This window comes from Homo sapiens, chromosome 9 (assembly GCF_000001405.40).
Source record: "Homo sapiens chromosome 9, GRCh38.p14 Primary Assembly".
Classification (NCBI taxonomy): Eukaryota; Metazoa; Chordata; class Mammalia; order Primates; family Hominidae; genus Homo; species Homo sapiens.
Genome location: NC_000009.12, coordinates 76624712 through 76647410, shown reverse-complemented (window position 1 = coordinate 76647410; position 22699 = coordinate 76624712). Strand labels below are relative to the sequence as shown.

The window sequence follows — 22699 nt, the reverse complement described above, 5'->3', positions numbered from 1 at the left end:
TTACATTTAGGTCTATGATCCATTTTCAATTAACTTTTGTGAAGGATCAAAGGCCTGGGTCCAGATTCATTATTTTACAGGTGGATGCCCAGTTATTTCAGCACTATGTTGAAAAGACTATCTTTGCTTTATTGTATTGCCTTTGCTCCTTGTCTAAGATCAGTTGACTATATTTATGTGATATGTGTTTTACTATAACCATAATAAAGAAAGTAGTATACAATTTTTGTTTTTTGAGACAAGGTCTCACTCTGTCACCCAGACAGGAGTGCAGTGGTACCATCATAGCTCACTGCAGCCTCAACCTCCTGGGCTCACGTGATCTTCCCAAGTAGCTGGGACTACAGGCACATGCCAACATATCCAGCTAATTTTTGTATTTTTTGTAGAGACTGGGTTTCGCCATGTTGCCCAGGACTGGTCTTGAACCCCTGAGCTCAAGTGATCCACCTGCCTTGGCCTTCAGAGTGCTGGGATTACAGGCTTGAGCCACCACACCCAATCAAAAATTTTTTACATAAGGGAATTTTAATAAAATTTGCAGAAAATAAAACAAAACAACCCTACGTTCACCCCACAGAGATGACCAGGGTAAAGCTAGAGCAGGTCAGAGGGTACCAAACAGGATGAAGAGGGTCTGGTGGATGGAAAGTTCACTAGAGGGAAAGGAGGGTGTGTACAAGAGCATCAGAATACAAACCTGCTTCAGAATCCAGAGTTCTGGGGGAGTAGAGACCAGATGGGAAATTGAGTTCCAGGAAGGGATATAAGATTAGCATCCTAGGGTCCTAACCCATGTAGGAAGGAAGAAGCAGGAAGGGATTCCAAAGAGATGGGTGGATTTGCACAAGGGACACGACGCTTGGCCTGAAGCCAGTGGTTTATGATCTGTGTCCTTGATAAGCTGCCGCATGCTGGTGGGAACACAGTGGAAGCCAGAGTGAGCCAAGGCTCTGTAGGTGGTGGTAGCTGTTGGTGTTGGCAAAAAAGGCTAGGATTGCTTCCCAACCGAACTTCATTTTGCTATCTAAGTCACTGGTAATTAGACACTTCTGAATATATAATTGCAGATTCTTCCAGAACATAATGGCAGTGTTGTGGCTTCCTTACAGATTAGCTCCATTTCCAGGAAACTATCCAAGTTTTTCTTAATTTACTCACCCACCTTCCCAATTGTTTTTGAGTGCTCTGAGTAAGTTTGTAAGCTAAGTAGGGAGTGGGTTGCTGGAAGTGAATATTAAAGGTTATTCAAGGCACAGTTTCTTAGCCCAGGGGACTCACAGTCTCTTTGTAAAATAAATAAGAAAGAGAATCACACATTCAAGGTACAATGTGGTAGATTAGAAGGGCTGAAAAAGGTAAAGGTTTTGACTATATTTGTTTAGTAACTGTGATCTGAGGCAAACCACTTCAGAGTCAGTTTTTGCATATAATGCCAATGGTATAATAATATAATGGTATAATGACCATTTTAATACCAACTAGTACCTGGTACAAGGTCAATACTTAACACAATAGTGCTGTTATTATCATCAAAGTGCCATAGAAAGAAGTGAAATGCAGTGTAAATTCAATGGTGCTTTTCCAGGAATGGAAAAATAAGAATGATAATGTCTTGGAATTATTGTGAAGGTTATAAATAATCTTTTCTTTCAGATTACTTAAACATACAAAGAATAACCATCATTAAGCTCTACTAATACTTCTAGTAAAAATGGAAACAATTGCTGCTTATTTTTTTAATAAAAATGGTTACTTTTTTTTTTTAAATGCACAAGAGTAAATTTCTTCCCAGAGGATGCTCAGTAGGCTTTTTTATTGTCTTATGCACCCATCAATTTGGGAGTCTTGTGCATTTGGGGTCTTGGAGCATTTCTGGTCTACAAAGTTGTTTGTTTCTCACTATAAAGTCTTGGTGTGGCATATTTTGAAACAGTACATAGAAAGTAATATCAAATTTATGTCCAGATATGCTCCCAATAGGGGGCTCAGCCCAGTTGTAAGAGTCTTAGAGTAGGAGTCTTGGCTTGTAGTATCATCACGATTCCAAGCTGAGGGCCCCAAAAGACTCTGAGCACTGAAGAGATGTGGCCCCAAAACCCCAAGATTTTCTGAGTCTAGTACACAGCCTTTCACCCCATTAGAAAGACCTGCAATCTTTCTTTACCCTGATCAAGGATGAGTTGGTCCTTGGACCACTACCCATGCAAGACAGCTTAAGTTTTGCACCTAGTCTCCCCCTCAGCATGGCCTTAGCAATGGATGTGGTTGTTCAGTTAATAAAAGAAGACTTCATTGAGTGTACTTTATATGGTCAGGATAGTGCTAAGCTCTGTAAAGGCTGTACAAAACAAGGACTTTGATCAGGTTGTTTCTGCAGGATGAAACAAAACAAAGGCTGCCCGTAGGAGTACTGTATTGTAAAGCTTACCATTTGGCTGTTTAGCTGCACTGTGGAGGTCTTGCTCCTTCAGCCTTGCTCTGTGCTTTGTTTCCAGAAGATCCCACAGCCAACAAAGATTCTGGCCAAGAGTCAGAGTCTATTCCAGAATATACGGCCGAAGAGGAACGGGAGGACAACCGGCTTTGGAGGACAGTGGTCATTGGAGAACAAGAGCAGCGCATTGACATGAAGGTCATCGAGCCCTACAGGAGAGTCATTTCTCACGGAGGTAGTCGAGCTCAGCATGAATCTGGGAAATGGGGAAGGGGCAGCCATTTTATTTAAAATCATGAAGTGAGTCTAGACTTCTCCGGAACATGACATCTCAAAGACCCTATTCTAGAGCCAATATTCAGGGAACTATAGAGCTAAGTATATTTCCTCATATTCAATTCAATAAACATTTGAAATCCTACTAGGCAAAGACAACTTTCCAATATAAAACGGGCTTTTCATGCTACATATCTGATAGCGATCATCTTGTGCAAATTTATTGAAAGTCATAGTTGTCTAATTTAAATGTCTGTTTGGCATTCTTATCAGTCCATTGTACGGTTGAACTGAACAGAGTATGTGACACCATGGCCTGTGTCATAACACTACCCCCGAGGTGCTTCTCATTACAAAATGGCCTTTTGAATCCTCTTCAGAAGCTTTGGGGATTTTTTTTTTAGACTTAGCCTGGTAATTGTTTCCCCTAACTGAAGTTTGCCTTTCTGTAAACTAGTAAACTACATTAAATCTAGGCCTGACAACAGCCAACCCCAGTCAAAGCCTCCACCTGTTTGGTGAGAGACAAGGGAGAGAGAAAAGTGTGTTTGTATTTCCAGCACTTTCTTGAGGGCTCCTGGAGCATATGTGGCCTTGATTAATTTGGGAGTCACAAAAAGTCAGATGAGTGGAAGCAACACATTTAACATTGTCAACTTCAGAAAACCTCGACAGCATTTTGATTCTTCTGCTGCGTGCCTTCCTTTCCCGAGCCTGAGGTGCCACTGTAACCACCCAGCTGTTCAGAAAGAGTGTGAGCTGACAAGGCAGTTGTTGCTCTCTCAGTTCTCTCTTCCTTAATGAGGACAGGGAAATGAGAGTCTTAGCACTGCCTCAAAACACTGCTTTTGTTTTCTATTATAACAAGCAGAAGGCTGATCTGTTATTTCAATCAAACCTTTCTCCGCCAGCAGATTTTTCACCTTCCATCCCATACATTGCTACCCCCACATAAGTATCAGGACCACCCAGGGAACCTGACCACTGTAGCAAAGGTGAATGCCAGTCCCTGGCCCTGGCCATGGCCTTTCTTTGTCTTGCCTTACTGTTTGACCTGAAATGGAAATATGCCCCGCTGAGAGCTGCTGTGGGGTCAGGAGCAGTTTCCTCTAAGGGAAATCATGCCCGTAGCCCTTCAGAATGAGAGTTGGCCCCATCTTGCTGCAAGTGACACACAGCTGGCTGTAGAGTCAACCCTTTTGTTTTTATGTGAAAACCATAAGAGGAACACTCAATCTTCCCCATCTTCCCAGGTCACATCTCCTTTGCACCACCCATCAGATATTTTTGGTTTGTTTTCTTTTTGAAAATAGAAACAAAACAAAGGCTGCCTGTAAGAGTAGTCTGTGTTCATTTTAAAAAGTATTAAAAAATTAAAATGTCTGTCACATCAAAGTCACCCAGTGATAAGCCCTATAAACATCAGCTCCTAAATGCAGAGTCCCTGTGTTGAAAGGAAGCTCATGGTCCTGCTGCTCTTCTAGGGCTAGTTATCTGCTAATACTCCAGTAGACTCGCCTGCTTGTTCTTTAGGTGGGCTGTTGTCTGAATCAGGAGAGAATGATTATCATCAGTGCACTGATGGTTGGGAAAAAGCCACTGCTTCTGCCTGTCACAGTCTTGTAACAATTCACCTGAGCCCTCAGGGCTAACCTGGTTTGCTGTGCTCTCCGTCCCTGCCACCTCCTCCCTTTGCCATTTGCTCGTCTCCATTCTGTGTCGCAAGCTCAGTTTTTGTCTGTGTGACTGTCTGGTTTGTTTTGAAGAGAAGGCCACCTCCCCTCTCCCCAGCCCTGCCTTGGCCCTCTCCAGGCACCAGCCTGCATGAAATGTGCCTCTGGCTGCACCCATCCGGAACTTTAGAGAGATGCCACCTTTTCCTACACCCTGAACAGCTTTTGTGCTCTGTAGGTAAAGATACTTCAGATGTTACTTCTGAATTTGCTAAAGCTTTGTCTTCCACATTAGGAGTTTACAGCACTCTCTTAGACCATAATGATGAAAAATCTCCTTACTTACCAACCTACTGAGTTTGTCCTTCGGCTTCTGATAAGCATTTAAAAAGCAGCAATCACTTCACAGTAAACATGAATCTTATTTGGTGCTTGACATTTTGCTCTGAGGAAGTTTTCTCATTCGGGCCAGTAGAGAAGTGCCAGCTACACAGTGCTCTGTGCCAAAAACTGTAAGGTGGGGGCAATCAAAAGAGCTGCAGAAGTTAGCCCCAAAGCCAGGCCCTGCCAGGTGTCCTACCTGTTGAGAATATTGGTGCATGATGGCAGTATTTGAATAAATAATTCAGTCTTCAGCTTTAGTGACCTTGATATGAGCTATTGCACACAATGTAGAAGAATGGGGCTCAAAACCCATCTCTGTCACTTACTAGTCTGTAACCTTGGTACATTACTTACCTTCTCTGGGCCTCAATGACATCATCAGCCAAATGAGGGTAATCTCAACACCACTGTTCACATCCTATGAGCCAACAGCAATATCCTTGCCATCTGCATAAATAAAAGCAAAGAGGGGTTTGAATGGTTTTGCTCAGCCAACAGTACGGGGTCCCTCTGAGGCTAGAACTGGCTTTTTTTTTGAACTTGGAGCTGAGAAACCCATTTAAATAATGGAGAACAATAATGCCAAGTAATTTTAACAAGGAGTTTCTTTTCTTTTTCTTTTCTTTTTTTTTTTTTTTTACTTCTCTTATTTCATTATAGGAGATTCAGGTAACCTTCTCTGAAGTCTTGCTGGACAAATGACCCTGGAAAGAATGAGGAGAAGAGTTGCTGGCTGGTGTGTGTGTGTGTATGTTTTGGTTGCGACTGTGACATCTTTCCTTCTGTCTCCATTCCATTGCTGGCCAGCAAACTTGTGTTACATCCCTTTCATGCCTGTCTGTGTCACTCAGGTAAGGTTTGCGTCCTTGCTTCAGAGGGTCTCAGGAGACTCCTGGGGGGGGGTTGCTCATGCACCCCACCCAGCACATACACCTTGAATTCACCTCACCTTTATTGAGAAGAAAGTCTAATGAAAGAAATGTTTTAAAAACCAGACTTCAAATGAATTATGCTGTTGCCAACAGGAAACTTTACTAGAGTAAGCTGCATATTTGAGAATAGAAATTGAGGGGTTAGCTGACCCCTTCAAGGTATCTGGGAGGGGCAAAAAGTGATTGATCCTATGCATTCTAGTTATTGCACTTTGCTTGCAATTATAGTATTATCTGATTTTTTAAATTTAAATTTAAACTTTTTTTAGCAGGAAGCAGCTATAGAAAAATTACAGTATTACCTGAAATATCTCCCAAGCCTGCCAACGGCACTGGCTCTTGATTTTGGAGGAAAACTTTCATGTGGAAATCTTTCTTTTATTTCCCTCTTTTAATTATCCCCTCTCCTGCTACTTTCTTCCTGCTCTTTTTGCCTCTTCTTCCCTTCTTAAAGCTTCTCTGCCCAAAATAACACATTTTCATTTATAAATTTTCATTTTCATTTATAAATTTCCATACTTTTTATATCGAGACATTTCTTACTTAGACAGCGATCATGAAGTAGTAGGTTGATCCCGTAGTATTCCTTTAGTTAAATAAACTTGGATGAACATGACGCTGCAACATTCCAAGGGCAGACAGCATTTACACAGTGAGCTGAACTGCCATTTAAAATGACATCTGAAGTACTGTTTATAAACCTCAGTCTTTCCCTTTCGAAAAAAATTTCTTAGAAGTTCATGGAAATAAAGAAAGAAATCAAAGTAACTGAGTGGTCATGATCTTGAAATTACTGTAACACTCTGGAGCCAGATTGCTACATTTAGAAAAACGCTTTTGAAAGGATGCTTTCTTGCTTTTAAGTTGGATTCATTATGTCTGTTGTCTCTTTTAATGAACGTCTGTCTTTTCGTCATGCTGAGGATGAATTGCTTATCTGTGCGGTATGAGGATTAGTATAGCTAAGCCACCATATCCTTTGTGGATTTCCATTTAATTATGCATCTTCAGAAATGAAATTATTGTAACAAGCAATTTTTGTATTAAGATATGTCTCCTCCTGCCATTTTCCTTCATATTGCATTCTAAAAAGTAGTTGATAAATACCCTGCATATTGGAAAAGATGGAACGAAAGCAAAAATATCCAGAGAAGCTACTACGTTGCTCTCTCACAAACATGTGTTGCATCAGTTGAATACTTACATAGGTAGCATCTTCTAAGATCTGTAGTATAAATACTGTATACAACAACACCGTATCACCACTTGTAGTATAAATACTGTATACAACTACCTCAAATTAGTAATACACACAAACCCATAATTGGGTATATTTTTAGTTAGTTTTGCTCTCTTCCCCCATATTTTTTTGCAGTAGAGTCACACTCTCTTTGTAGAAAACATCTTATTAAACTGCTTTTCAAGAGTGAATTAACTCCATCCAAATCTATACACAGCCATTACTTTACTGCCATGAAATCACCAGTGGGTATTTAGAGTTCTGAAAAAACTAACACGTTGGGTTCTGGGAGGACTGGACCAGGCTTAAGCGTATGTCCTGTCCTCCTACTCAAAGCTTGAAGAAAATCTCTTTAATGATTCAACAGTCCAAAACTATATGACATCAATTTCAATCGTTTAGACAGGGATACTAAAAAATAAAAAATTCACACATTGCTTCCCTTTTTAAGTGTGAAAGATGCATGACATTCCATATAGTTACCTGTGGGGGTCTGACTGACACCTGCTGTGAGTTTCAAAGAAACTATGGGAATATAAAGCTTACTTAAAAGACAGGGCAATTCCAAAATTATGCCAGAGCTTTCAAAAGATGGGGAATGGTGTCCTGAGATGTATCTACATGTTCCTTGACCCCCGGAGTTTCAATGGCCACACTTTCCGCATTTCCCACCTGCTGTTTTCTCAGCAGCTCCTGCAAGTAGCACTTCCACTCCTCAGTTCCATGTTACCAGGAAGCAATTCTCAAGTTTTCCCAAAAGTACAGAATTTTATACTACTCAAATATAATTTAGCCAGACCCATCTTTAGTTTTCCTCCTCTTATGAGAGGAAGTTTTCTTCCTCTTCATAGAATTCAGAACCTTAGCCCCTTAATAGAACTCAATGTGTTAATTTTCTCAGAACTCTAAATACTCACTGAGTGATTACGTGGCAGTAAAATATTGGCTGTATATAGTTTTTTTGTTGTTTGTTTTTTTGAGACAGAATCTCACTCTGTCACCCAGGCTGGAGGGCAGTGGCACGATCTTGGCTCACTGCAACCTCTGCCTCGCAGGCTTAAGCAATTCTCCTGCCTCAGCCTTCCAAATAGCTGGGATTACAGGCGTGTGCCACCACGCTTGGCTAATTTTTGTATTTTTAGCGGGGACAAGGTTTCACCGTGCTGTCCGGGTGGTCTCGAACTCCTGGCCTCAAGTGATCTGCCTACCTCGGCCTCCCAAAGTGCTGGGATTACAGGCATGAGTCATGGCGCCCGGCCTGGCTGTATATAGATTTGGATGGAGTTAATTAACTCTTGAAAAGCAGTTTAGTAAGATGTTCTCTACAAAGAGAGTGTGACTCTACTGCAAAAAAGATGGGGGAACGTCATATAGCTCTGGACTGTAGAATCATTAAATAGAGATTTCCTCCAAGCTTTGAGTAGGAGGACAGGACATACGCTTAAGCCTGGTCCAGTCCTCCCAGAGCCCAATGTGTCAGTTTTTTCAGAACTCTACATACCCATTGGTGATTACATGGTAGTAAAATATTGGACAGAACAAGGCCTGGCTAGAACTTTTCATGGGTTCTCACACTGTCTGTTGATCCCAGGGGCACTGCAGGCCTCGAAATCAAAATAAAGGTGTTTTACTTGTCTACTCACTAGTATTTGGTCACTGGAGTGTGTGGATGAGAGATTATGTTGCACTTCAGTGGCTAAATTCTCCCTTTAAATTAAGCAGTGTCTAAGACTAAAAAGAACTATAGAGGATCAAACAGAATCTCTTTCTTAGCCATCAGAAGAAAGAAGTGCTGTATAAGTACTTATGTATTAGTATGATATAAATCTGACATTTAGGTCAGTCTTGCCCCCTCTCATTTTTTTGTGATGTCGAATATTTACACACCCTCTTCACAACTATGTACAACAATATAATCATCCGTAATATATAAATAGCCTACATATGCAAATATAATTGCCCTATATATTTAACACTCTATAAAACATAGATGTTAACCACTGAAAGATAACTATATGGGTATATACCTACAGACCTATAGTCAACATAATCCCCATTTCATGCTGCTAATATACCCACAAAGACACACTTGCCAAGGCTTCATATTTATCCATTAGGTCAGATATTACCTTGTTAAGAGCTTTCAATTGGTTACAAGTGTCTTTTTGTTTGTCCCCCAGGATACTATGGGGACGGTCTAAATGCCATCATTGTGTTTGCCGCCTGTTTTCTGCCAGACAGCAGTCGGGCGGATTACCACTATGTCATGGAAAATCTTTTCCTGTGAGTGATACTTATGACAAAGTGCTTTGAGTTAATGTCTGTGGCATGTAATGGCAGATAGAGCACCTTTAATTAAAGAAAATAGATGATGTAGAATGTTCTAAGCCTTCAGTGAAAAGTCAGTAAGGTTTCTGTCAAGGAATGTTGCTCAAGGGGCTAAAACCTTTAAAGGAGCTCTTTTGTGGGTAGACTAGACTGAAACCAAGATGAACAGAATTTTGCTTGCATTTTAAAATTCTGTAACATTTCCTTTGGGCAAAGTATTATTTTTGTTCCTTCATAACATGTTCTTAGTCAGCTAAGACTGACTATAACCTGACTTCATTAATATCTGCCCTTATTTAACCTGAGTTACCCTTAGTATTTGATAACATTGTTGACAGTTTTGAAAGTCAGGATTCTTTCTAACCCATACATTTTTCTAGTGTACCTCCATTTAAAAGATAGATAGCCATACCGATAAATGAGTAATACTCTCAGAGGAATGCTCTTAGGTAATTGTATTCTTCCCAAGGTAAAGAGGTAATATGCACAATCATTCTTAAATTTCATACACCCTGTACTTTTGATGTTATGTAATTATGGTGTCAATAGGATGTGGGAACTGAAAACATTCCTCTTCCTTCCTGTGATCAGATATGTAATAAGTACTTTAGAGTTGATGGTAGCTGAAGACTATATGATTGTGTACTTGAATGGTGCAACCCCAAGAAGGAGGATGCCAGGGCTAGGCTGGATGAAGAAATGCTACCAGATGATTGACAGACGGTATGTGGGCTCTATTATTTAATCACTATTTTGATTTTGGTAAACTGAAGACTAAACAACCACATGGTATACTGTTATTATCTTCATTATACACAAGAAGAAACCAAGTCTCAATAAGATCAAATAAATTGTCTAAGTTGCTATTAAGCATGTATTCTTTTCAAAATAGTAAAGGTAATACTGACGAGAATAAAAGCATCATTAAACAAAAATACACCATGTTGGTTATAGATTCATGCACTCTAAGAACACAACCATTCTATTTTACATTTACTTCTATGAGAAAATGACGTTTGAATCATACAAGTTTCAAATTACATCTCAAAAAGCATTCTTGTAATTAATCATGGCCATTCTATATCTTCCTACCAGGTAATAGTAACTTGCATAGAACTCCCTAAAATTATACACACACACACACACACACACACACACACACACACATTTTTGTTGTTGTCGTTGTTGTTGGAGTCTCACTCTGTTGCCTAGGCTGGAGTGCAGTGGCATGATCTTGGATCACGGCAACCTCCGCCTCCTGGGTTCAAGCGATTCTCCTGTCTAACCCACTGAGTAGCCAGGACTTACAGGCGGGCACCACCACGCCCAGCTAATTTTTTTATTTTTATTTTTATTTTTATTTTTAGTAGAGATGGGGTTTCAACATGTTGGCCAGGCCAGTCTCAAACTCCTGACCTCAGGTGATCTGCCTGCCTTGGCCTCCCAAAGTGCTGGGATTATAGGCATGAGCTACCATGCCAGACTTAAATTATATATATTCTTATTTAGGAATATGTTTTATGTTTTAATTCCCACTGAAAATGGGTTAAGAGTAATGTATTTTTTTTCTTTTTTCAAAATAGGTTGAGGAAGAATTTGAAATCATTCATCATTGTTCATCCATCTTGGTTCATCAGAACAATCCTTGCTGTGACACGACCTTTTATAAGGTACAGTTAATGTTGTCATAAAATAAAAGTACTACTAGTAGTTTTAAAAAATATGTACTCATTGTCCTAAAAACAAGAATTCATAAACTAAGAGTACCCAGGGAAATATATTTGTCTCTGTCTTTCCTAGAAAGGTGCTTTGGACTATTCATCAAGAATCCCGAATTAAGAGAGAAAATGCTGTCATGATGAATATTTCCCCCAGATCATTATAAAACAGGACCTCTAAATTGCTTGCTATAAACACGGAAGATGAAGTGGTGGGATTTTCATGCCACATTAGAAAGGAGAATAGATAATACATTTAAAGTGATATGCTATTATGTAGAGAATAGAAAGGTAGAGTAATATGACAATGGAAAGTAAAGATGAATCAAGGGCAGAAACAGAAGCCATATCATGTCTCAATTGTGCCATTTCTTCTGAATAGACCTACACAACGTTTATATAACTACCAAAGTTATATAGAGTCTGGGCAGCCATTTTGAGAGCTGTGTTTTGATCACCCCTGAGGAGTCTTGGTTTCAATTCAGTGAATATTTATTTGTCACTTATTTTATGTTAGGTTTTGCATAACCTTACATCTTAGGGATGCAAAGTAAAATAAGTTATGTTCATAATATAGTAAGACTTCAAATAGTTAAATGAAAGGGATAGTATTTACTTTCTAGATAGCTTTAAAAACAATAAAATTTGCCCACCATCAGGGTACAGATTAGATTAATTGAAATTTTCCCATCTCAAAGTTATTAATGAATTTCTTTTAAAAATTCTGATAACTTTGCTTCTGGGGAAAAAGATAAACTTTAAAATCTTTTTTTTGTGTGTACATAGATTTTACTGTAGCTTCCAAATTCTACCTTTCTTGTTAAGTATTTAGTTATATTTATTTATTATTCTTATTCCCCACTTCCAATTGCTAATGCTGAAAAATATACCTGAAAATCAAGAATTGTTAAAATGGTAAACTGAAGGCTAAACAATCACATGATATACTGTTATTATCTTCATTATACACAAGAAGAAACCACTGAAAAAACGAAGTTATCAGAATTTTTAGACGAAATTAATTAATAATTTTAAGATGGGAAAATTTCAATTTATCTTCAATTGAGTAGCAGGATTCACCCTAGTTTCCCTCTGGCAAAGATTAGCTGTTTACCATACTGTGTTAAATTGCTTTTAAAAATATTATGAGCAGCCAAGCGGGGTGGCTCACACCTGTAATCCCAGCAGTTTGGGAGGCCAAGGCGGGCAGATCACTTGAGGTCAGGAGTTTGAGACCAGCCTGGCCAACATGGTGAAACCCCATCTCTACTAAAAACACAAAAAATTAGCCAGGCATGGTGGTGGTGTGCCTATAGTCCCAGCTACTAGGGAGGCTGAGGCAGGAGAATCGCTTGAACCTGGGAGGAGGTTGCAGTGAGGCAAGATCACACCACTGCACTCCAGCCTGGGCAACAGAGTGAGACTGTGCCTCCAAAAAACAAACAAAAATATTAGACCTATTTAAGGTATACAAAGAGCCACTTATTTTAATATTTTCAGGAAATGTTGTAACTAGGGAGTAGGAATCAATGTATGCTGATAAGCTTTCAAAAAGTTTAATGGGTAGAAAGGTAAACATTAGCATAGTTACTGATTCATCGATGTTTGCTTAATAATTCAGCACTTATAAAACAAATGTTTTTTCTTGATTAAGTAATGTTAAAAGATAAACTTTAGACAAATCAATCAGTTTATTAGAGCAAAAAATGATTTATGAATCCAGCATGACTTAGAACCAGGAGAGGTTCAGAGAGCTCCTCCCAGCAAAGTGGGCAGACAGTATTTGTCCAGAGAAAAGCAAGGTGATGTATAGAAATAGCTTGATTGGGTACAGCTCAGCAGTTATCTTATTTGGGTACAGTGTGATGAAGCATTTGCCTTATATGGTCATGGTCTGATCATTTGGCAACCTGTGATTGCTGAAGCTCAGCTGCTTTGATTGGCTGAGACTCAGCTAGTCTTTGCAAAAATATACTCATAAGTTAGGTTGGAATTTTGTTTACATACTATGTTAGGTTGCAGTTAGCTACCTAGGAACTCAAACTACAGAGAAAGCCTCAAGCCAAATGTAGTTTAACAATAAGAAAACATTTGTTACTGTAAGGCTATTAAACATTATTATAATTCAACACTACTTATTGAAGGGAGCTTCAAGATAATAACAACAACAGTAATAATAAAATTATAGCAACAGTGTTGTGGTAAATTATGACTAATAATGGCTTAATTTATTGAGTGCTTATTTGCATTATCTCATTTAACCTAATGACAGTCCTCTGAAGTAGATACTTTTTTGTTTGTTTTTTGTTTTGAGAGACGGTCGCCTTCAGTCACCCAGGCTGGAGTGCAGTGGCACGATCATGGCTTACTGCAGCCTCAGACTCCTGGGATCAAGCAATCCTCCCACCTCAGCCTCCTGAGTAGCTGGGACTATAGGTGTATGCCACCACAATCAGCTAAATTTTTTTATTTTTTTGTAGATATGGGGTCTCATGTTGTCCAAGCTGGTCTCAAACTCCTAGGCTCAAGCAATCTGCCTGCTTTGGCCCAAAGTGCTGAGATTACAGGCATGAGCCACCATGCCCAGCCTGAAGCAGATACTGTTTACTATTTCCATTATATAGGAAAAACTGCTGAGGTTCAGGGAGGTCAAATAAATTGTCTAAAGCAGGAACCAGCAAACATTGTTTATAAAGATTCAACTAGTAAATAGTTTAGGCTTCACTGGCCCTATGATTTCAGTTACAGCTACTCAATTCTGCCATTATAGAGCAAAAGCAGCCGTAGGAAACATGCAAACAAGTAAGTGGCTGTGTTCTGATGAAACTTTTTTTTTTTTTTTGAGACAACCTCACTCTGTTGCCCCAGGCTGGAGTGCTGTGGTGCGATCTCGGCTCACTGCAACCTCTGCCTTCCCATGCTCAAGTGATTCTCCCACCTAAGCCTCCCAAGTAGCTGGGACCACAGATATGTACCACCACGCCTGGCTAAGTTTTTGTATTTTTGGCAGAGACAGGATTTGCCATGTTTCCCCGGCTGGTCTTGAACTCTTGAGATCAGGTGACCTTCCCATCTCAGCCTCCCAAAGTGCTGGGGTTACAAGCATGAGCCACCATGCCTGGCCTCTGATGAAACTTTATTTATGAAAACCGAAATTGAATTTACTATGATTTTTACATTGTAAAATATTCTCTTTTTTTTGAAAGGGAGTTTCACTCTGTTGCCCAGACTGGAGTGCAGTGGCATGATCTCTGCTTTCTGCAGCCTCCGCCTCCCAGGTTCAAGCGATTCTCCTGCCTCCACCTCCCAAGTAGCTGGGATTACAGGCATGTGCCACCACACCTGGCTAATTTTTGTATTTTTAGTAGAGACAGGTTTTCGCCATGTTGGCCAGGCTGGTCTTGAACTCCTGACCTCAAGTGATCCGCCTGCCTCGGCCTCCCAAAGTGCTGGGACTACAGGTACGAGACACTGCGCCCAGCCGGCATCATAGAATATTTTTATTTTTACATTTTTTAAACCACCTTAAAAAACATAGAAATCATCCTTCACTCAGGGACTATAAAAATCAGATAGACTTGTGCCTATAATTCCAGCTACTCAGGAAGCTGAAGCAGGAGGATTGCTTGAGGCAAGGGGTTCAAGATCAGCCTGGGCAACATAGGGAGATCCTGACTCTGGAAAATTTTTTTTTAAATTTAGCTAGGCAGCGTAGCATGTGCCTGTAGTCCTAGCTACTCCAGAGGCAGAGATAGGAGGATTACCTGAGCCCAGGAGTCCAAGGCTGTAGTGAGCTATGATCATACCACTGCACTCCAGCCTGGGTGACAGAGTGAGTCCTAGCTTCTAAAAAAATAATAATAAACTGACAGCAGCTGGCTTCAGCCACGGGCTATCATTTACCAACCTCAGGTCTAGGGTGACACAGCCTAGAAATGATAGGCTCCGTCTTTGAAACCAATTGTCTGCCCAATTCTAAAGAAAACCTACATCAAGTACTTAATAATTGTATTCTACAGTTTCATCATGTAGGAGCCTCTTTAAAGATCCTCCTTTGAGTCAATTTACTTCAGTGTTAGCAACTTGTAGATATGAAAAAAGAGATCACTAAAATGTATTATAGGTCTTCTCGCTACTGAAGGGTAGCATCTATGATAGAGGTATATGGCAAGTTCATTTTAAACAATGAGTTATTGGCAGTTTGGAGATTTCTCAAAGAACTTAAAACAGAAGTACCATTTGACCTGCCAATCCCATTACTGGGTAAATACACAAAGGAATATAACTCATTCTACCGTAAAGACACATGCACATGTATGTTCATCGCAGCACTATTCACAATAGCAAAGACATGGAATCAACCTAGATGCCCATTAACAGTGGATTGGATAAAGCAAATGCAGTACATATACACTATGGAATACTAGCAGCCATAAAAAAGAACTAAATCACTTCCTTTGCAACAACATGGATGGAGCTGGAGGTCATTATCATAAGTGAGTTATCCTAAGAAAACCAAATACCGCATGTTCTCACTTATAAGTGGGAGCTGAACATTGAGTATACTCCAGACACCAGGGACTACTAGAGGGTGGAGGGTGGAGGACAGTGAGGATCAAAAAACTACCTATCAGGTACTATGCTCATTAACTAGGTGACAAAATAATCTGTACATCAAACCACTGTGACATGCAGTTTACCCATGTAAAAACCTGCACATGTACCCCTGAATAAAAGCTGGGGGAAAAAATTAGTAATTTGTCTGTGCCAAGCACTGGATTGGGAAATCACATAGCTCGATTGCTGTCCTTAAGGAGCACAAAGCCTGGAGCAGACATGGGCAGACAAGTGAACAGTTACAATAACAGGATACAATTGCATCTTGAGGAGGTGATGACTCAAGGTGAGGGTGAGTTTGGGGGTATACCTGGTAGAGAGTGAAAGCTGATAATCTGCATCAAGAGAGGCTTTGCAGAAGGAGGCCTTCCCTCCAGGTGAGTTTTAAAGGATTAGCAGGATTGGCCAGCTGAAATTAGAGAGAAGAGCAATCCAGGTTGAGGAAACAGGTAGACAAAACGCCAGATACAAATACATCAATAAAGAGAGAACATGGCATGTTCAGAGAACTGCGAAATTCCAGTGAATGTTAACACTGGAGCTGGAGGTTTTCCTTTTGCATGACTTCTTTTCCCTCTCAGTCACCCACTCAGTCTTTTATCAAAACCGTATTTAGCTCAACAACTCCACAGGAGGAAAAAGGCTTAATGTAGCATATCACTGGTAGTGTGTGTTGACCCAAGACTTATCAGGAGGGACAGAAGCTACTGTATGGAGAGGACGGTTGTTCACAAGTGTCTTGGGCCCAGGGCCAAAATTGCAAGTAAAGTATTAAAGATAGATGGATAGAAGACACACCTCAAAAAAGCTTCTTACTAGAATGCATAGTAGTTGAACACAAGGTAATACAGATGGCAGACAGCTCAGCAAGATCCCAGTAGACTAGAGAGACCTTTTCATTTGAAACCATTCAAGAATGTTAGACCCTTGGATATACTTTTTAAATTAGTTTGCCATTACACAAGTAATAAGAAAATGCAGGCCGGGTGCAGAGGCTTACGCCTGTAATCCCAGCACTTTGGGAGGCTGAGGCGGGCAGATCACAAGGTCAGGAGATGGAGACCATCCTGGCTAACACAGTGAAACCCTGTCTCTACTAAAAAAATACAAAAAATTAGCCAGGCATGGTGGCAGGCACCTGTAGTCCCAGCTACTCGGGAGGCTGAGGCAGGAGAATAGCGTGAACCCAGGAGGCAGAGCTTGCAGTGAGCCAAGATCGTGCCACTGCACTCCAGCCTGGGCGACAGAGCGAGACTCTGTCTCAAAAAGAAAAAAAGAAAATGCATTCTTCAGAAATGCATAAGACCAAGTTCTTCCTTTAACAATTACCAATTCCTGTTCCTAATCCCCTTCCCCAGAGGCAAAATCTTTTATCAGTTTCATTGGTATCCTTCCAAGTTGTTCTCTGTGCATTTACACATCTCTAAAACGAACACATTTAGATGAAAGCTGTTTGTAATTCAAATCCAATTATTGGAACATATTTTTGAATGTTGGTTCATCCAGAATAAACGTTCAACCTAAAACTTTAAAAAAAAAAAAACAAAAATTTTTAAAATAAACTAAAAAAAAAAGAAAAATGAGTTTACATATATTTTTAAAGTATCATCAAACTTGGTAGATTCTGAAAGAACTAATGGTAAGATTTTTGTTTGTTACAAACAAATAAGTAAACAGAGACAAACAAGGCATAAAGTAGTGACTATTCAGAGTAGCAGGAACCACCGGGAGGCCGCACAATATATGGTCAAGAGTGTGAATGCCAAAGTCAGACTGCCCAGGTTAGTATAGGCTCTGCCATTTACTAATGGTGAGACCTTGGGTAAACACTTAACTGCTCTGTATCTGTTTCCTTATCTTTGAAAATAGGATAATAATAGTGTCTACCTCACTAGGCTGTAATAAGAAATACCTGCATTCATATGTGTAAACCACTTAAGACAGCATTTGGCCAAATACTGCATGATCTCACTTATATGTGGCATCTAAAAAAGTTGAGCTTATAGAAGTAGAGAGTGGAATGGTGGTTACCAGAAGCTGGGGGTTGGGAGTGAGGAAATGTTGGTCAAAAACCACAAAATTTCGGTTAAGAGGCATAAGTTCCAGAGCCCTATTGAACAACATGGTGACCAGAGCTAATAACAATGTATTGCATCCTAGAAAATTGCTAAGAGAGTAGATTTTAAGTATCAAAAAAAAAAAAAGCATGTGAAGTAATACATACGTAAATTAGCTCAGTTCAGCCATTCCACAACGTATACATATTTCAGAACATCATGTTATACTTTTTTACATGGCAATTTAAAAAATAAATTTTAAAAACAGAATAAAACATCACCACCAACAACAACAAAACAGTGTCTGGCACATTGTAACTCGTCAAATAATGTTAGCCTCTTAGTAAGAGTGCTGTGGCAAGGTGTTAAGTATCAGGATTTTCAAGAAAAGGCAATAGCCTTAGAATGGATAAGGTAGTGACTAATGATACATATTTTTTTCTTTTTTTTTTTTTTAGTTCAAAATTCAGCAGTAAAATTAAATATGTCAATAGCTTATCAGAACTCAGTGGGCTGATCCCAATGGATTGCATCCACATTCCAGAGAGCATCATCAAGTAAGTCCTGACAGTTTCAGAGATGTGTTAAGAAATAGTACTAGTTTGAGGCTGGGTGTGGTGGCTCACGCCTGTAATCCTAGCACTTTGGGAGGCTGAGTGGAAGAATCAGTTGAGCCCAGGAGTTTGCAATCAGCCTGGACAACATAGCAAAACCCCATTCCTACTAAATATATAAAAATTAGCCAGGCGTGATGGCATTTGCCTGTAGTCCAGCTATTCAGGGGGCTGAGATGGGAGGATCACCTGATCCTGGGAAGTCAAGGCTGCAGTGAGCTGTGATCGTGCCACTGTACTCCAGCCTGGTGGCAGTGAGACCCTGTATCAAAAAAAAAAAAAAGTGTGTGTTTGGAGAAGTGGGTTGGAAAAGAGGTCAGTTCTGGAACAGGGGAAATGGCACTATCTTATTTTTAAAACAATATTAAATATCCTCCAATAAATACAATTTTTTCCTATAACCTATAGATAATTGTTGTGTTCTTTTAGATCCTCTTTCACCTAATCTTTTCCTGGGGTTATTTGATTATTGTTCATTTTTAGCTTGAACTTTACTACCACTTTGGAAAAAGTAACAGTTACATTGGTTAATTGGTATACTGTCTCTACTGGTTAACAGTGTATCAGTTTCTTGTGTCCCCCACTCTGCACAGACACAAGACGGTCTTAGCATAGCTTGGATTTCTTTATTGTCTTATACAAAGTAATTTATCTGCATGATGCTAGGAAAATAGAAAGAAATAACTCTTTCTCTGTTTCTTCTAAACCTTTTTTGTTTGTCATGATTAAGTAGAGGGCATTTGCCCAGTGGTGGGTGAGGTGGTGAGGAATGGTTTCCTTGCTCAATAGAGGGTAACGCAGTATCAGCGTCAGCATCCTGCATGGGTACTGAAGGTCTCAGGATGATGCTACAAAAACTAGGATAAAATTTAACAAAATAAATACTTGGAGCTGGGATTTTAAAACAGGGATATCGGAGAATGAACAGTTGTATCTGGTACATTGTTGCAAAGAACGATTGTTTTCTGTGTGTCTTTTTTTTTGTTGTTGTTCACTGTATCTGAATCACTAGCTTTTTTCATTTCATTTGAATGGAGAGGGACTTAACCATTAGCTCAAAGAAAACAGGCAAGTATCATTCATCTTCCTCCATAAAATGGATAGCAAAATGTACCTCTCGTTTGGGATTCCAAAAAAGAGTCCTCTCACTTTAAAAAATTAATTAATTAATTAAAAAGGCCCAGCCTAGAAACTGGAAGGAAAGAATTCTCATGTAATGTGTGTCTATGATATGCCAAGCATAGCAGTGCTCTATTTATATCATTTATTTAACTCTTATAGTAAACCCCTGTTTTACAGATGCAGGGGACGTAACTTAGTAGGAAGTTACTTATGCACAGTATAAGTAGGAACCAGGAAGAGATGGAACGGAAATTCAAATTCAGGTCAGCCTGGCACTAAAATTCCCATGTCCTTTTCTAGTAGATTCCTTTACCTCTCTCAGAGAATCCTTCAAAATTCAAACCTCAGAAGTAGATTCATTTGGTTCTCCTACATAAGCAATATCGGGCGTGAACACAGGATACTGACTGGGCTTCCGGTGGTCAGCTGGGCTCAGCTGAATCAAACGGAGTGTTCATTAGATCCTAATGACGGCTTCAACCCTCATTAGCTTCACAGCGTTTCCACAACCAGCATACCTCATAGCTCTGGGCTGCTGCCTCAAAAAGGTGTACTCCGTCTTCAAATCCCACTTCTACTCTTTAAATTTAAAAAGTATGGAGGCAGAGAGGGATGCCTCACACCTGTAATCTTAGCACTTTGGGAGTCTGAGGAGGGTGGATAGCTTGAGTCCAGGAGTTCAAGACCAGCCTGGGCAACATGGTGAGCCCCCCGCCACCCCATCTCTATGAAAAAAACACAAAAATTAGCCGGGTGTGGTAGCATGCACCTGTAGTCCTAGCTACTCAAGAGATTAAAGTGGTAGGATTGCTTGAGCCTGGGAGGCGGAAATTGCAGTGAGCCGAGATCGCACCACTGCACTCAAGCCTGGTTGACAGAGTGAGACGCTGTCTCAAAAAAGAAGAAGAAAAAAAAAAGATGAAGAAGTATGGAAACACTCACATTCTATAAGATGACAAGGACATTCTCTCTTCTAGTGGAATTGAGCATTGACCACTTTCCAAGTAAACACGGTAACACTTCCATGGTGTGACAGAGGCAATAGAATGAAAAGTGAATGGGCTTTAGAGACTTAGATTTGAACCTTCTCTCCTACCTCTCAATGTCTCTGAGACTTCAAGTCATCTATTAAAATGATTAATTAATTAAAATATTCTGAGTCTCAGCTTCAGCATCTGTAAAGTAAGGAAGTAAGTTGCACTTCCTGGAATGGTTCTGAGGGTTGAATGCAAACAGGGTACACAAAGCACTTGCAAAGCCTCCCAGCACAGAGTTCGCAATCCAGAATCTTATTTATTGTTACACCTGTTGCTTTTAGAGACTCTCCATCATATGGGAAAGTTCAAATGAGAAGTTAAGTATACCTAGGACATTTTTCATTCAACTGCACACATCAGTTTTCAAGGGCTCCATTTGGGAAAAGTTACTTCAGGAGGAAGGGTTCTAGTTGGAAAAATTTTTTTCTGGAGAAAGAAATTTACCACCATTCATGTGCTGCCCACATGTCCATGTGTTCTGTTTTCTGTAATTCATCTCCTTGGGATGTCCTTTCTGCCATTTCTGTTACTGACCTTCATCACCTCAATTTCATGTTTTGCAAATTTCAAATGGATACGAGCCATGGCTCCTTTTTATCACTGAATAACATTCAAAGGATCTAATCTCAGCCACTCCCACAACCAGTCCTCAGCTGAGATGGAGCCTGTCATCAAAGGGCTTAAATGAAAGAAAAACTTGCCCAACCTAGAACCAAATTTATAATCATTGGTTACAGTTGATTCTCATTATTTGTGGCAGTTATGTTCTATAAAGTCACTGCAAACACTTAATTAGTGAATACTGAAATAGTGTTCCAAGGGAAAATACAGGATGTTCAGTTCCTGCAAGCATCTGGTCACAATGTTTTCATCAATCAATCAATATATAACCTTTTTTTATGTGTGTTTCTGTTTAAATGAACCTTACTTAGTATACATTGTTGATTTATGAACATTGAACTCATGGCCAACAGTATTGTAACTTGTGCATAAACAAAGCTTATCTAATACACATATTTTCTTCATAAGGCACATCACAGCTTTCCTGCACTTGGGAATACTAGTATTCCCAATACAGTATTTCAGCCCTATGCTTGGAAGCCAATTTGAACAGCAAAATCACCAAGGAAAAATACAAAAATGAGCGGAAAAAAAGGCACTAAAAAGGTTGTGAAAAGGACACTTGTTTACAGTATGAAACAAGAAGACAGAGCCTCACACATTGCCAGGTGGCAACATGAATGTTGGGCAACTCAAATTTTTCTCCACTCTGCACATGTCCACAAGTGACCCAAAAAGTACTTTGTATTGATTTTGTGTTTATAAATACATGCTAGTGAAGAGGCAAATTTACAAATATAGAATCTGCAAATAATGAGGTTTGACTGCATATATTTATAAATTATAAACATTGATTGTTTTCTAATGAAAATAAGATTTCCCCCAAATGTCAATTTTATTATTACCATCATACATCACCTAATGACAGAGACATGTTCTGAGAAGTGCGTCTTTAGATGTTTTCATCATTGTGTAGACATCATAGTGAACTTATACAAACCACCCCGATGGTAGAGACCACTACACCACCTAGGCTATCTGCTATAACCTGTTGCTCCTAGGCTACACACCTGTACAGCATGTTACTGTACTGAATACTGCAGGCAGCTATAACACCATGGTAAGTATTTGTGTATGTACACGTAGAAAAGATACTGTCAAATTATGGTATTCTAATTTAGGGGACCACTACCATATATGTGGTCCATCACTGACCCAAATGATGTTACATGGTGCATGACTGTATCTGGATAGGCATTTTCTCTCATGATTTGACTGTCATTTAAATCATTTACTTGTCATTTTTCCCATCTGTTTGCTCATTTTCCTTATGGCACTCGTTTTTTATCTTGTAAGGTACGATGAAGAGAGATCTTATAAGAGAAGTGTGAGGTAAAATCTCCTGATCTCCTATTCATGCTGGACCCTGTGTGTGTACACCAGTGTTTTACTTGTGGGTGACCTCAACAAGCTACCAGAGCAAGAGGTCACTGTATCAGTCTTTTGTATGCCATTTTCAGTCTTTGTCCTGTGTGTAAAGCTGTTGAGGTCAACCTAATTTGCAACTGAAACCTACTAAACCAGATACATCCCTGACTTGGCCCAGGCTGCAAGCTAACTTGAACTGTACCCACCAGACTGACGTGGATGTTTTCAGCTTTATTCAGCCAGCATGTTTCTGATCCCTTTGCAACTTATGTCTA

The 22699-nt window shown here is 39.7% G+C and overlaps 1 protein-coding gene and 1 long non-coding RNA gene across 55 annotated transcripts in view, besides 2 other annotated features; one reads left to right on the top strand and one right to left on the bottom strand.

Annotated features, from left to right (window-relative positions):
* The window catches only part of LOC105376095 (uncharacterized), an 84799-nt gene that overhangs the window by 30296 nt on the left and 31804 nt on the right, over window positions 1-22699 (bottom strand). For 11 of the 13 annotated variants that reach the window (XR_007061586.1, XR_007061588.1, XR_007061590.1 and 8 more), the window contains 4 exons: window positions 15916-16014; window positions 5125-5217; window positions 4733-4966; window positions 2432-2693 (listed from right to left, as the gene is read on the bottom strand). This is a non-coding gene — a long non-coding RNA (uncharacterized LOC105376095). The remainder of the gene's footprint in view (window positions 1-2431; window positions 2694-4732; window positions 4967-5124; window positions 5218-15915; window positions 16015-22699) is intronic. The other 2 variants (XR_002956900.2, XR_007061594.1) reach the window with 2 other exon arrangements.
* Window positions 1-22699, top strand: part of PRUNE2 (prune homolog 2 with BCH domain) — a 294739-nt gene that overhangs the window by 258704 nt on the left and 13336 nt on the right. For 12 of the 42 annotated variants that reach the window (XM_005251751.2, XM_011518328.3, XM_005251746.2 and 9 more), the window contains 7 exons: window positions 2499-2672; window positions 5431-5439; window positions 9123-9225; window positions 9862-9993; window positions 10854-10940; window positions 18121-18219; window positions 22353-22388. In XM_005251751.2, the coding sequence (XP_005251808.1) occupies window positions 2499-2672; window positions 5431-5439; window positions 9123-9225; window positions 9862-9993; window positions 10854-10940; window positions 18121-18219; window positions 22353-22388 (640 nt within the window). Of the gene's footprint in view, window positions 1-2498; window positions 2673-5430; window positions 5622-9122; window positions 9226-9861; window positions 9994-10853; window positions 10941-18120; window positions 18220-19575; window positions 21926-22352; window positions 22389-22699 lie in introns of those variants that run through there. The other 30 variants (XM_017014351.2, XM_005251750.2, XM_006716985.2 and 27 more) reach the window with 9 other exon arrangements.
* Window positions 3671-3780: an enhancer, noted in NCBI's record as "active region_28480". NCBI's record gives its function as "activates an Ori minimal core promoter by ATAC-STARR-seq in GM12878 lymphoblastoid cells {active_cell/tissue: GM12878}" and the evidence as "EXISTENCE:reporter gene assay evidence [ECO:0000049][PMID:35858748]".
* Window positions 3791-3840: an enhancer, noted in NCBI's record as "active region_28479". NCBI's record gives its function as "activates an Ori minimal core promoter by ATAC-STARR-seq in GM12878 lymphoblastoid cells {active_cell/tissue: GM12878}" and the evidence as "EXISTENCE:reporter gene assay evidence [ECO:0000049][PMID:35858748]".